The following is a 16,532-nucleotide window of genomic DNA, read 5'->3' on the forward strand; positions in this document are numbered from 1 at the left end:
GGTACATGTGATATTTTGCTACATGCATAGGACGTATTATGATGAAGTTAGTGTATTTAGCGTATTCATCACCTCAAGCATTTATCATTTCTAAGTTTTGAGACTATTTCAAGTCCTCTTCTCTAGCTATTTGGAAACAATACATTATTGTTAATTACAGTCGCTCTATGCTGAAAGCAAATGTTAGGTCTTATTCCTTCTATCTAACTCTATGTTTATACCTGTGAACTAACATTTCTTCGTCCTCCCTACCCACAATCCAAACATCCTTCCCAGCCTATGGTATCTATCATTCTACTCTCTATCTAATTGTGGCATATATACACAATAAAATATCATTTGGCTATTAAAAAAGAGTGAAATTGTGTCATCTGCAGCAACGTGGACAGAACTGGAGGCCATTATATTAAGTGAAATAAGCCAGGTACAGAAAAAAAAGCAATTCTTTATCCTTTTTTGCCTCCATGCCAGATCTCAACTTGCCAGTTCTTTTCTCCAGAGAAAATTAGGGTTATTAGGGTTACTAATTTCTCCTGCAGTCATACATAGATATTTTGTGTATATAAAACCATACATGTGTATGTTTAAAAATAGTCTCCACAAATGAGAACATGCTAAAAACATGGTTCTGTTTCTAGCTTTTCCTCCTAAAAATATATTGCAGATAATTCCAATTCAGCGTATAGAGCTGTTTCCTTCTTTCAAATGTCTGCTAATTCAACATTGAAAGAAGAATTCTTGGTTTATTTAATCAGTATTTTGTTGTTGTTGTTGTTTAATTAATAGAGATTTAGGTCTTGTCCAATCTGTTGCTGTTAAAAAAACAAAGTGGTATTGTACATTGTTGAACATATGTCATTTCACACACGTGCAAGTTTTCTCTATGGAATAACTTCCTAAAACTGAAATTGCTGAGTTGAAATTTGAGCTCTAATTTAATAGGAATTGCTGTCTAATTTTCCCTGAAGTTGTACCAATATAAACTTCTATCAGCAATATACAAATGTGTTTTATAATTTCCACATGTATTATCAAACTATTAGACCTTTGCCAACAGATTAGGTTTAGAGGATGATATTCTTCAAAGCTTTAATGGAAATGTCTTTCTTTTCTTTTCTTTTCTTTTCTTTTCTTTTCTTTTCTTTTCTTTTCTTTTCTTTTCTTTTCTTTTCTTTTTTTTGAGATGGAGGCTCACTCCGTCACCCAGGCTGGAGTGCAGTGGCATGATCTCAGCTCACTGCAACCTCTGCCTCCCAGGTTCAAGCAATTCTTGTGCCTCAGCCTCCTGAGTAGCTGGGATTACAGGCGTGCACCACCATGCCCGGCTAATTTTCATGTTTTTAGTAGAGACTGGGTTTCACCATGTTGCCCAGGCTTTTCTTGAACTTCAGGTGATCCACACACCTTGGCCTCCCAAAGTGCTGGGATTACAGCTGTGGGCCACCACACCTGGCCTTAAATGTATTTATTTGTTGAAGGTTTCATACTGTTAGATATTTTATTTTTTCTTTTTTCAAAATTGCGTTTGCATGGCCTTTACTTATTTTTCTATTAGGTTCTTCATATTTTTTGTTTCTTACTTAGTTTTAGGAGATCATTTTGTATTTAGAACATTAGTCATTAACTCTAATATAATCTACAGATACTCTCCCCAGCTTATTGGTTGCCTCTTGACTTTTGTCTGTGGCTTTTTTTCATGCAGAATTTTAAATTTATTTTGATGTAGTCAATTTTTTAAACGAAGTAAGTCATTAAGAGAGAACATGGGAGGATGCCAGGGATCAATAGTGGAAAAATGTTGAATTAATGGATTAGAGAATGGAGAACATGCAAGGATTAATTTCCAGATAAGGGAATACAAGGTGAATGGGCTGATAGATTGAGATGGAGGGCAGAGAGTCTAATGATGTCCTACCTAAGTGATCAGAAACATATTGATGATGACAAATTTAGAATACAACCATGGGAGTGGTATCTTGCAGAAAATGGATGATTACAGATGCCCATGCAGAAGAATGGAGAGAAATGGGTATTAGGAAAATTTCCCATTTGGACATTGATGTGATAGATGTATTACTAAAAAGGCATGGCAGTAGTGATGGGCATGGCTAAAAGCAACATAAAAATACTTAGTAATTGCTCAATTGCAAAGAGCTGTTGCAAAAGATAAGAATACATGGTTTTACTTCATTTTGTTATTTTAATCCTATTTATGGTGTAGCATTATGGATGAAGGACTGGATGGAGAGTCAGAAGACAGAGCTCTTGTGCGAGACTCTTCTCTAAGCCTCAATGTTCTCATTTGTAATATTAGTTTGTTGGACTAAATGAATTATATAATTACCTCTCGCTATAATATGTTATTACAGTGCCCTGAGAAGCATCACTACATAGTGATACTTTTCCTGGTAGACACACGACAGGAACAGGTCTGAAATACTGGCACACTCACCAAACTATCAGTGGAGGTAGACCAGTTCTCCTGGTTGGCGTGAGGCCATCTTCTAAGCAAGGCCGTCTCTAAGGGAGCCTTTAAAATATTGACAGCCAAGTTGGCAAGAGGCCCAGAATTGAAAAGAGATCAAAAGCATAGCCTTAAATAAAACCAGCTGGAAATGCAACTATTAAAAAAGAAGCGGGGAGAAAAAAACACATTCTGTAGGCTGGGACCTTATTTTAACATGTAAAACACAAACACTGGAGGCCGAGATTTAGACCCTTTTGCAGAGCAGTTATAGAAGAGGTTGGGCGAGCATTTTGATTTGTTTAATGAGAACCGGCTGTTTAAACATGTTTAGTCTCATTAACCATGAGTGGGAAGAGATGTCTTCTCTCTTGTGGTTGACAGAACTGTGGCGGATGCTTTTTTTGCAAAAAGAATTTGGAGGTAAAACTGGTAAAGCTCCCTCCACATTATCCCATTTAATTTTCATAAGAAGCCTTCAAAGAAGAGGAAATTAAGCTCCAAGAAGTCGAATGTGTTTTCAAGTAACTGAGGCTCAGGATATTTAAATAACTTGGCCAAATAAATGGCCAAGCTGAAACCCTTAAAATTAGAAATCTGGCAGCAAGAACAAACACAGTGTGGAGTCATGGGGTGAAGGAACAGTAGATGGATGGACTGCTAAATGCAAGGCAGTGGATCTAGAGCATAGTCTCTGAGCCTCAACACTGCGGACATTTTGGGCTGTGTAATTCTTTGCCATAGGGGACTGTCCTCTGCACTGCAGGATGCTTAGCAGCATCCCAGACTTGGTCAGTAGCACCCTCCCTCCCAGGAGGACAACCAAAACTGTACTCCCAAGTGCCAAACGAGGACAAAATCACCTCTGGATGAGAACTACTAAGCTGGAAAATGAAGCACTCATACACAGAATGTAAGACTATCACACTTATTGGAATCAGAGAATGTGATGAAAACTTGATCACATTAAGAAGGCAGATGTTAGGCTACAAAGATAAAGTATCAATGGACAAAAATCTACTACCTCAATGTAGCAGGTTAACTTTGGAAAGAGGCTCATGCATGACTCAGGCATGTGAGTTCCTGGTTGCTTCAGATGTGTGTGTCTGTTTGCCCATGTCTTATAAGGTATGCAGCAATGATCAGGTCATTTAACCCCTTTAATTGACCATTTCTTTATATTAATATATAAAATTACAATAGTAATATGTATCTTTCAAAGTTGTTGAGAGGTTTAAAAACTAGAAAATAAATAGAAAATCCAGATGACCGAGGGTTTAGTGATGACTTTTTAGATACAACAACAAAGGGATGATCCATGAACAAAAGAATTGATAAGTTGAACTTCATTAAAATTAAGAATTTCTGCTCTGCAAAAGACACTGTCAAGAGAATAAAAAGATAAGCCACAGACTGGGAGAAAATATTTATAAAAGATATATCTAATAAATAATTGCTATTCAAAATATACAAACAACTCCTAAAACACAACAAATAAGAAAATAACCCCATTAAGAGATGGGCTAAAGACCTTAACAGAAATCTCACCAAAGAAAATATTCAAATGGCAAACAAGCATATGAAAAGATGATCCAAATCATATGTTGCTACAGTTTGAATAGATACTCCATAAAGCATGTGTCAGAAACTTAATCCCCAATGTTGCAATGTTGGAAGGTGGAGCTTAACGAGACATGGTTAGGCCATGAGGGCAGAGTGAACGCATCAATACTGTTGTCAAAGGAGTGGGTTCTTTATAAAAGTGGGGGGCGGGGGTGGGCCTGGTGGCTCATTCCTGTAATCGCAGCACTTTGGGAGGCCGAGGTGGGCAGATAACCTGAGGTCGGGAGTTTCAGACCAGCTTGGCCAATGTGATGAAACTCAGTCTCTACTAAAAATACAAAAATTAGCCAGGCGTGGTGGCAGGTGCCTGTAATCCCAGCTACTAGGGAGGCTGAGGCAAGAGAATCGCTTGAACCCAGGAGGCGGAGGTCACAGTGAGCCAAGATTGTGCCACTACACTCCAGCCTGGGCAACAGAGCAAAGACTCCATCTCAAAACACAAATAAATAAATAAATAAATAAAATAAAAGGGGGAGTTTGGCTCCATTTTACTCTCTTCTTTCTCTTGCCATTCTGCCTTCTGCTATGGGATGATGCCAGCTCCCCAATCTCAGAATATTCAGCCTTCAGATTTGTGGGAAATTTCTGTTCAGTGTAAATTACCCAGATTTAGGTGTTCTATTATAGCATCACAAAATGGACTAAGGCATATGTTATCTGGGAAATTCACATTACAACTACAATGAGATACCACTACATAATTATAAGAATGACAAAAACCAAAACACTGACACCAACAAATGCTGGCAAGGATGTGGAGCAATGGGAACTCTGATTCCTTGCTGGTGGGAATGGAAAATGGTAGAGCTGCTTTGGAAGACAGTTTGACAGTTTTTTACAAAACTAAACATACTGTTACCATATAATCTGCAATTGTGTTCTTTGGTATTTACCCAAAGAAGTTGAAAACTTATTTTCACACAAAATCATGAACATAGATGTTTATGGCAGTTTTAATTATAGTTGTCAAAGCTTGGCAGCAACCAAGATGTCCTTCAGTAGGTGAATGAATAAACTGTGGTATATTCAGATGATGGAATATTATTCAGCACTAAAAATAAATGAGCTGTCAAGCCATGAGAAGATATGGAGGAAACTTAAATGCATATTACTAAGTGAAAGAAGCCAATCTCAAAAAGCTTCATACATTATAATTCTAACTGTATGACATTCTAGAAACAACAAAACTGGAGAAAGTAAAATGATCAGTAGTTTCTGGGGATTAGTGGAGGGAATGAATAAATAAGCAGAACACAAAGGATTTTCAAGACAGTCAGAAAAACTCTGTATAATACTGTAAGTCTGGATACACTTCATTATACATCCAAACTTACAAGATGTACAATGCCAAGAGCGAACCCTAATGTAAACTGTGAGCTTTGGATAATGATGTGTCCATGCAGGTTCATCAGTTGTAACAAATGTACTACTCTGAAGAGAGATGTTGATAATTGAGGAGGAATGGGAGTATATAGGAACTCTTCATACTTTCCACTCAATTTTACTGTGCATCTAAAATTGCTCTAAAAAATTAAAGCCTTTAAAAATATATGTATATAAACATGCCAGCACCTAAAAGCCTCTCATGAACTTAGGGGTTGTGAGGTTGTGAGTGCGAGTGTGTCATGTTTGGTTGTTTATTTAATTACACACCAAGTCATTTAAATATAGAAATCATGTCTTAAGTATCCTTGATTTTAATTTTTAAATAAATTTTGTTTTGTATCTCAAAGTGTTATTTTACTTTGAGAGTATCTCATAGTTTCATGCTTTACACCTTAGAGATGCTTGTATATAGTAAAATAATTACTATAGTGGAACAAATTAACATACATATAGCCTCACAGAGTTATTCATTTTCTTTACCCCTGTGGCAAGAGCAGCTATAATATACTCATGTAGCAAAAATCCTGAATACAATACATTATTATTAACTATTGTTTTCACATTGTACATTAGATCTTTAGACTTGTTTGTCCTACAGCTCAATAGCAAGAAAATATATGATCCGATTAAAAAATTGGCAAAGGACCTGAATAGATATTTCTCCAAAGAAGAAAAAAAAATGGCTAACAGGTACATGAAAAGGTGCTCGACATCACTAGACATCAGGGAAATTCAAATCAAAACCACCAGGAGATATACCAGTTAGGATGGATGTTACCAAAAAGACAAGAGATAACAGTGTTAATAAAAGGTGTCAAGAAAAGGGAACGCTTGTACACTCTTGCTAGAAATGTAGATTGGTGCAATCATTATGTGAAACAGTATGGAAATTCCTAAATAAATTAAAAATGAAATTACCGTATGACCCAGCAATTCCTCTTAAGTCATCCTTATAACTCATCCTCCTATCCTTGTATGTTGTATATATGGATATATAATAATTATTTTTGAAAAAGAAATAAGTTCTTTTTTACTAGCCTTAGAACAATTTTTTTCCAATTGGAATTTAACATTTTTAAAACTCTTTCATTTTACACATAAAATGCCAGTATTTAACAAATAGAAAATGGTTTAAAAACTTTCTTATTTTTGACGTTTTTGTTATATATTGCCACTCTCATGGGAGTGGATCTCTTTGGTGAGGACATAAAGATAATCGTGATAATTCACAAAATAAGTAGCTGGTGCACACAGTGGGGTTCTATGTTGAATGGAAGTAAAGCCATCCCATTGAAGACATTTAGAAAATGTTTTTCAAAATCACTGTGGGATGGGTAAGGCAAGGGCTTTCCAGGAAAAGCATCTTAGCTGTTAGGGTCCAAAAGCAAAAGATGGCACGTTGATATTTGGATCATTCAAGCAGGATTTACTTACAAGCAGACTACTTTCAAGGGAACTGTAGAGGACAGTGCCTAGATAGGAACTTGTAATGGTGATGCTGTTACTGTCTTAGACACAAAGGAATATGAAGAGGGAGAGCATACTGAAATCTGGAAGGCTAGAGGGAGTCTGTGTGTAGAGCAGTCTGCCTTGGAAGAGGCAGAGACCTATTAGGGGGACATGGCTAACCTGAAGTGACCTCACTGGGAGGGATTCAGTGGAAGAAATAATGCTGACCTCTGTCTCCTCCTTCCCTTACATTTCCTACTCAGGCTCCCTTTTGGCTTACCTCAGAGGCCGAGGAGTATAGGAGACAGTTGTATTACCCAAGAGGCCAGCTTACTAGTTTAAGAGCAGAGGGCGTGGATGGGCAAATGGAAAGATACCTGCAGACTGACCAAGTCAAACACTAGGCCCAGAAGATGAGATATTCGAGTAAGTCATGAAGCGGGGTTGAGGCGATTTTGGGCTACTATTTGTAGTTTGTCTTTATGGGCCAAGCTGGAGTTCAGTGCTTGTTCTGTCAACTGTAAAATGCCAAGGGTGGACAGCAACCTGGTTTATTCTACTTCAAATGAAAGAGGCCTGTTCTTGAATTTACAAAAGTCAATGCATTCATAATAGTGGAACTTTAATTTTTGCCCGGTTGGAATGTTTTTTTTCAAATTCTCAAAATCCTCAAATAACCCTGGGCCATGTGTTTGTACGTCTTGAATATTTGCTGAAAGATTTCATCCATTCATAGAAAAGTCATTGTAAACAAATTCTCAACAAATGAAATTTGCATACGTAATTTTTAATGGAGTCACTGCTAAGCTTTTCTGGCGTTGTCAGATACACCAATGGGACATTTGCTCTCCTACGTCTTCTCCGCCAAGCCCATCCCCCTGTTGTGGGTGGCGGTATCTTTACATCTGGATGGCAGCTCTCTGGCACAGTGCTGCTTTTCCACTGCCCTGTGTCCATGGCAGGCATACCTAATCAATCATAGCATGCCTATACTGCTCTTAAACACAAAGCTCAGCATGAAACCAAAAATAATTTGTAATCACTGCTTTAAATAGTACTCACTATAACAGTGTTTATTGACCTGCTTTCCCCAACTGGGAGAATATGCACAGGTTCAGCTTTCACATTTGAGACGCTAAAAATAAAAACAAAAACAAAACTCATTTCTTATTTAGCCAACATTTAATGTGCACCCACTATGCGTCAGGCTTTTTGCCCAGGCAGGTAGGATCTAAATGCATAAGCTGTGGTTATTGTGAAAATACTCACATTCCAGTGAAATACTCAAGCCAATAATGCCTATGAGTTTAAGGTTTCTTTAACAGAGGTTTGTACCAGAGAGAAGATTCAGTTCCATTTGGAAGCTACGCATGACAAATATGCTGTTTACATCTTTAAAAATACCATAAATATCGTGTGCAAATGGGCACTGTGCTCACTGGGGAATTAATCTTACTCCACTAAGACTTTATACATTTGACTTTGGAGAAAATTGAGCATAAGTTAACAACATCTGAAGAGGGCAGAAGACATTCCACTTGACCCCATGAAATGACTTTTCTCTAATTCTGAAATCATAAATGCAGACAATCTGAAAAGGCTTCAAAAGGATTATTTCTTTTTATTTATTTACATGGTCATCATCATGATTATTATTGCTACATTTAATATTTATTGAATGTCAAGCAATCTTGGGCTAAGAATAGCATAGAATACAGGAGAAAGTTAGTGGTTTGACATATAAGATTAGTCTCCAAAATGGAAACTAAGATTCTTTAGTGATGAGTAGTTTCTTTAAGGGTAAGAATTGGATTGAGGATGAGAATAAACCACACGGATTGATGTAGTTTCTAGGGCGGTCCACATTGCGGTAGCTGGATTCGTTTTGGAGGTGTTTTTCATTTCTTCATTAACTATCAGTGTCTTTTAAGCCAATCTCTGTTGAACAAAATGGTTATTATGTACTTGTACTTTGTTCAGAAACTCAGGCTAGTTTTAAATAAGATAAAGAAAATTATCTATTTTTCAGAGGGAAGATAACAGTATCATAATCAGACAAGGAAGGTAGGGAATAAAACAGCTATTTTTGAGTGTGCTTTAGTTACCTAAGTTTTAAGTTTCTAAAATGTTAAATAAATAAATAAAAGAAGTGAAAACAAAGGAAGCCCAGTTCTTACCGAGTTGGTATATGTTAGCTGGTGTGTTTCCATTAACGATGTTTTATCTCTGAGATTGAGACAAATAAAATGAAATGAAGAAAAACCGTGTGACAAATTTCAGGAGATGGTTTTTGTTCTGTTTTGCTTTTGTTTGTTTGTCTTTCAAATTCAGATGAATTTGACTTCACAAACCAAAGTGCAAAATCACTGCTTGTACCCTTTACCAAAGGTTGAATGGGATTACACAACAGGTGGCAGACATCTGCTTGTTGCCCCAGCAGAATGAATTTCTCTTGTTCTCTATTTAAAACACCTTTATTTCTACTTGGGTATCCACGGGCTTTAAAGAAGCTGGCTACTCACTTGTGTTTAGGAGAGTCATGTGTCTTTGGTCATGATATTTAATTGAGGAATGGAGATGTGAGCTAAGCTAGTGCAACTTGAATTAGTTTTGGGACTTTTGCTTAGGAAACCCTTCTGCCTCTGAAGGATGTAGGGTGCCGATGTGAGGCCTGAGACAGCCACACACAGTTTCGGTAAGAAGCCAGCCTGAGGATACAACCAGAGTAGAAGTCAGAGTTCAGAGTTTCTAAGAGAAATGAAGCTGAAATCCTGATAGCATTGTAAACCTCTGAATCAAACTGTGCCTCAAATGCTCAATCCTTGAAGTGTGAAGTCCATTAAATTTTATGTTATTTTTATTTCTTACCCAATTTAGATACAGTTTTTGTTAGTCATAACCACAATGATCCTAACCAATACATGTTTAGAAGTGGTGACTCTATTTATATAGATTTTCCAATGTGCCTGACCCTATAGTAATTACTGGGAGTTAGAATTGTAGAGCCTACTGAACCACTCTCCCCTCTTTTCTCCAAAGACTTGAAAACTCCTTCTCATCCTTTACAGTTCAATTCAAATTCTCCCTTCTGTGTGAGTTAGTCCAGGCTTGCTCTTGAACTTAGAATCATTTTTTCTTTGCTTTCATGTTATTGTAATTATAATTCTCCTGCAGCACCTACCACGTTGCCTTCTGGTTGGTCGTTTTCATTTACAGGGTAGTCTTCTCCATAAGGTTACAGTTATCTGAATCCCAAGTGCCTGAAACAGAGTATATGTTAAAAAAAAATACGTATCTATTTTATTTATTCCTTTATCCTTCCTATATTGTCAGACATTGTGTCAGAAGCTTGGGATTCAATGATGAATGCCGTTGTCTTGGCTTTTGAAGAAGATACAGTCTAGGGATATAACTTTTAATTGCAGATTTCTGTTCATTTAATCGTTATTAGTTTCTGCATATACTAGTAATTAAAACACATCTGTAATATATAATTCTTTACTTATGTATAAATTATACAGAAGTGCTACTATGCTAATATTCACATTACAAAACTTAAAGAAGACATTGGATGAGCTGAAGTGAAGCATAAATCAAGGATCTACTAGCTTGCTGCTGCATCCTAATAGATTTGCCTGGCTTATGCCCCAAATCCCCACACCCAATCTAAAGATATTTGGCCAAAGGGCTCAGAGAACAATGAGAGACACACAACTTATGGATTCCAGGAAAGGCCTGCCTCGAATAAGAGGGAGAAGGTAGAAGATGAGCCCTCACTGCTCTGAGCTGGAGGCTTTGGGAGGTGGTGGGAAGAGCCAGCAGTGAGCTGTTCAGATAGCATCACATCTTGATCTTCATGCTGTGAGGCTTTGGAGAGGGAAAAGGTTTGAGTTCCCTCCAGAAAGACATCATGTTTCCTTTTCTCCCACAACAATCAGTACAAAGCAGGCTTTCTGTGGGGACTAAAGGAGAATGTCCTCCAGTGCTAATGAATCCTGTTGTTTCTGTAGCATTCTGCTTGCATGATTCCTTGCAATACAGATTGCAAAATGTGTCTGAAATTCTACATTGCCAAAACAAGGGCCTTCTCTAACTTAGCCTTTAGCTCTGTGTTCAGCACCCATATTAAACCCAAAGGGCTTGACCTTGACGCCAAGAAGTCTTCATTAGCTCCCTGACTCACAGGGAGCTAATCTGACTCACAATGTCTCCAACCAGGCAGAACTAAGGGGTTCAGTATTTATTTCATTTGCTATACGCCCGCTGGATATTTTTAAAAGAACAGAACAAATGAACCAGAGTGCATTATCTCATGCATTTTTTTCTTCTCACAATAGTCCCATGAGGGATGTATTATCCCATTTTACAAATAAGACAACCAAGAACACAAGAATTTAATAACTTCCCTGAAGGTCAAATTAATATGCTGAAGAGCCAGGATTCAAACCAGGAGTTTTCTGGCCCTGGTTACTTTTATTCTTTCCACTGCTCTGCACTGCTTTATCTCATTACTGATGGTAGAATTAATTGCTCTAAAAGTATCAGTTTCTATTTTATTTATAAGCAGTTACATAGAAGTCATACAGCTTCAGAATTTGAAGGGACTTTAGAAATAGTGTATTCTTCTTTTTGTAGTAATATGTTATTCTTGTTTTTCATATGGATGTATATTTCACCAGGAAGGGGAACTGACTTACTTAGGGCTGGAGCTGGAATTACAATCTGAGTCTTTCATTCAGAGCTAATCCATGTTTCTTCCATCCCATCTTATATGCCTCATCTGATTCTTTATGAATTAGAAAAGCAGGGTTTTACAATTGTAATTATTTTAACATTTTATGACATCTAAGAATGTAACTGATACTTTCAAATATATTATCTCTTTTCATTCTTATCATTGCCCTGTAAGTATTATTATTCTCCCCAGTTTACAATGAGACCACAGATAGAATCAGTATGCGACTGGAGAGCCGGGACTTTAAAACCACAGGACCTCATTGACTCCCCTAGGATAATCTGTTCCCATCTAAGTGCAGTTAACATTAGTTTTTAACTTTATATTTTATGTGGAAATGTATAATTTCCCGAATTATTTTAGTTTCATAAAATATTGTCATCAATTCATGTTTGAGGAAGACAGGGAGACACAGAGTCAAATCGACTTGCCCCAGACCATATTGAGAGTGACTCTTGAGTCTGTCTTTGAATTTAATTAGGAGAACAAAAGTAGCCTGAGTTATCTGTTGATAAGACATTTTGCTTAATTTTTACATTTAAACAGCCATTTGTATTAAACAGATGGAAAATAAAAACATAATAAAATGTAAAAGTATCACTAAACTATAACAAAGATGAAGACATAGCCTAATTAAAAGAGGCATGGCTTAACTCACAGAGTTGATCAGAGACATCTTTCCTGTAACATTGATGTTCATAGTAACAATAGACACATTTAGGGGGCCGAAGCCTGCTTTATATGCTCTATCTTTAAATGCTCATAAACTTCTCTAAAGTAGGTTGATATGTTGATTACCATTATTCTAATATTATATAAGAAAAAGTCAAGCTGGGCTGGGACTCCATAGAATTTGTTTGAGCTTGGGTCTAGGCTCTCCAAGTGCAGCCCAAGCACTAAGGTTCTTCTTGCCTGGTTTATGTCTTTGGTGGAGCATGTTTATGGAGGGTTCACTCACCACAGGAAAAAAAGGAAGCACTTTCCTTGAAGCACATCCTCATGTCCTCATCTTCTATAAAAGATTTCTTTGGCAATTTAAGACTCAAAAACCAATAGAACCAAAAGCCCTTTTGTGTGATATCCTTGTCAAAGAATCTGCAAGATAATGACCATATCCTTTATGTTATTTTTTTGCCAATCAAAATGGAAATGGAAATAACTTTTATTGAGTATTAAGGCCAGGCATAACCCTAGATATTTGATAGAAGGCACTTAATTTGTTCTGTAATTGTGATGCAAACTGAGATCCAGAGAGTGATAGTGTCACATGAAGAAAACAACAAAGAACCAAAGAAAATTCCAGAATTAAAACTGCATCTATCTGATCCCAAGCCTGCACGTCTCTCTGCACAGCACTGCCTGGCCCTACTTTAATAGAGTCAGTTTCATTTCAGTTAATTTCACCAAATATTGAGCACCTATTATATTACCAGAGGAGTGCTGTGGGAACACAAATATGAGAAAGGACCAGGCTGAGTTGGTCACCAGAGAACTTGTGGTCAATAGGAGGATTATATGTTTCAAGGTCAAGTATGACAAGTACTGTAAGAGCCATCTCAAAAAAAATCTTCTGAGTAAAAATGAGTAAAGAAATATCACATAATTTGTGGGAGAGTGTAACATGGGATGAGTTAGGAAAGGCTTTGTAGAATAGGTAGCCATTGAATTGAATCAAGAAATAGGATAGAGCTAGAAAACAGTTTTAACAAACACAAAGACATGTGAAAAGAAGAAGAGACATTTTGGGCCCTGTAAGTACTAAGACCAGCAGCAATTTTCACAGTGGTAATGCAACCATTTACTCAACAATGCTGGATTGACTTGGTTACAATCAGAGAGCGTCTTTAGTCTATTATTTCTCTTTATTAAGCCCACTCTATGTACGGGCTGCTGGTGTATCCAGGACACCCAGTGCATGGCACCTCTCTTCCCTGTCTGAATTTTGAACAATTGGAGAGACAAGACAGAGAAGAAACATTTGGAGATCAAATCTAGCCTTCATGTTGCAGAAAAGCTAATTGTAGAAATTAGCCGAATGTGAGAGCAAAGTGCATGTGGGAAGTGAACTCCCAATTTATTCAGACTTCCCCAACTGTCACAGGTACGCTGGCCCAAGGCGAGCATCCGTAGAATGGGGGGGTGCTGCCCAGGTAAGACTCATTGCCTGAAGAGGTGGACGACATCCTTAAAGAGCTTGCTCCCAAGAGGAAAGTGGGAGGAACTAATCTATGAATTCCCAGTTTATTCTTGCAAAGTTACTGTTGAGACAGGTCACTCTACCTTCTCTGCAAATAGCGTCTAAACATGCCAGGAGTTTGAAATTCATTGACTCCCTAAACATGTGAGGTGGAGAGTTTGGGATGGGAAGGGTTTCTCTTTTCTAGATTTATGACTCCTGACCACTTGACCAAGTCTCAGCCAGTATCAAACATGCTGGGGTTCTGTTAAGTCAAAGTGCAGACTCTTCTAAATAATGTAAATGTCAAGACTGGTGCAGTCATCAAAACTCAAGCGTTATTCAAAGTTAAAACTCCTTCCCTGTCCTGAATCAAGCTGACTTCAGGCTTGGAAGTGTGGGTGGTGCAAGGGCAGGGAGCATCTCCATTTCTCCACCCTTCTCTTCTGCTCCCCTTGCTTCCTGGCCTAGTTGTCTGAGCTCCGCTGTTGAGTAGAGGAGGAAAGTGCTAGCATAAAATGGCTCCCATGGCAGGTGACTGTGTGATTGGGTGTGAGTTCATGCTTTTTATGGAACAGACACCTTCTGCCTATCTCTCAAGGGGTCCCTGTTGAGGACATATTTCAGATACTTATTTTGAGTCTTTCAAACTCTATCCACAGTTCCCTTAAACCGAGTGATGCCACACCTCTAGCTGGCTCTTCCAAGCTCTCCTCCTGCTCCTTAGGCTTCTGATAACCTGAGTCACATACAGTCCAGGCTGTTTTCAAACTTTGGGGGTCACATATGGCCTCCTAGGAAACACTGCTTGCCCCCTGGACGGGACTCCATCTCCTTCCTCTGCTTGGGTATCTGAGGTACAAAGCACTGATCTCTGTTCTCCCAACCATTGTCTTCCCCAGGCAAAGGTCATGTGTGACTCAATCCCATTATGCACAAGCCCAGCAATCTAATGGTTCCACTAAAGTCGCTTTCACTTGGATTGAGGTAGGGAGTAAGTATCTCTCTCTTCCTGTAGGTCTGGTGAGCTCGTCATGGGAGGATAGACACCATGCAGACACTTCCTTAAATGGAAACCTTTTTCACATGCCCTTTTAACTCAAACCATTTATTCATTTGAAGTGGGTGATGGACAATCTCCATTGTACAATTCTGTAGCAAATAAGGTCTAGCTCTTGTTTTGGATGTGGCTGATTGGCATCTGTTGTTGTGGTCTTTGAGAATTCTGCTGATGGAGAGACAGAAGGAGTCACATTTTATCAGCCTCTGATGCTAACACTTATTGAGGGCTTACTATATACCAAACACTGTGTTTGATTGTTTCATTTAATCTTCAGAACAACCTGTCAGGCAGGCATTATTTTGCTGATGAGGAAATTGAGATACAATAATTCAAGTTAACATAGCTATAAGCATTGGAGATGGACATAAATCCAAGCAGTCTGATGAATCCCAAATGGTTAATTACTGCATTGAACTACTTTCCCCACAATGCAGCAGGGTTGGGAATCAAGCCAGGGTTGACTTCTTAGAAAGAAACCATGCTCACATCTCAACAGGCTGAGAACAGTGGTTGCTTTAGACAGAGTACATAGGAATTGGGGGAAGAAAGGTGAAGAGGAAATAGGTGGTCACCCTTAGAAACCAATGGATGAAGCAGAGTGTAGAGAATGGGTGTAGACTTTGAAGTCTAATAGGCCTGGGCTGACCCTGGCCTGGCCTTTTCCCTTGCCAGGGAAGTGACCTTGGGCAAATTCTTTCACCAACTTGAGTCTTGGTTTTGAGTTCATATAGTAAGCATTACATATATATATATATACACACACACACATATATATATACATATATATGTGTATATATGTATATGTAATGCTTACTATATGAACATATGTATACATATATACATATATGTGTATATATGTATACATAGATATGTGTATGTATGTATACATAGATATGTGTATGTATGTATACATATATGTGTATATATGTATACATATATATGTGTATGTATGTATACATATATGTGTATATATCTATACATATATGTGTATGTATGTATACATATATATGTGTGTGTATGTATATATGTGTGTATATATGTATATATGTATGTGTATATATGTATATATATGTATACACACATCCCCACACTCATACACACACACATATATATAATACATACATATAACAATCTCACAGTAATGATCTGAAAAATGAGATGCTGTAAGTGCTTATAAAATTGCATAAAATGTTAGACAATTGAAGGTATGATTATTATTGTAACTAACATTAAGCAATTACTGTATGCCAGAAAGTGATCTGAATACTTTGTGTATATTTACTTGTTTAATCTTCCCAATATACAATGAGACTGTACTATTACTACCTCCTTCTAAAGAAGAACAAGCCCAGGCCTGGATGAGCCACAGTTAATGCAGTTAGTGTGTGGCAGGCTGGATCATGAGCACAGATAGCCTGTGAATGGTGCCCATGTGTATCCAGTATTGCTATAGCAACATCTAGAACATCTTAGGGAGGTCCATGGGTCTTCTCAGCTACAATAAATGGCAATGTATCACTGTAATAATTTCCACACAACTCTTTAGGCAATGAGAAGCCATTTAAAGCACAGCAATATTATCAGGGTAAATTTGATGAATAAATATTTGTTAAATGAATTATTAAATTAAGAGAAG

This window comes from Homo sapiens, chromosome 4 (assembly GCF_000001405.40).
Source record: "Homo sapiens chromosome 4, GRCh38.p14 Primary Assembly".
In the NCBI taxonomy this organism is placed as follows: Eukaryota; Metazoa; Chordata; class Mammalia; order Primates; family Hominidae; genus Homo; species Homo sapiens.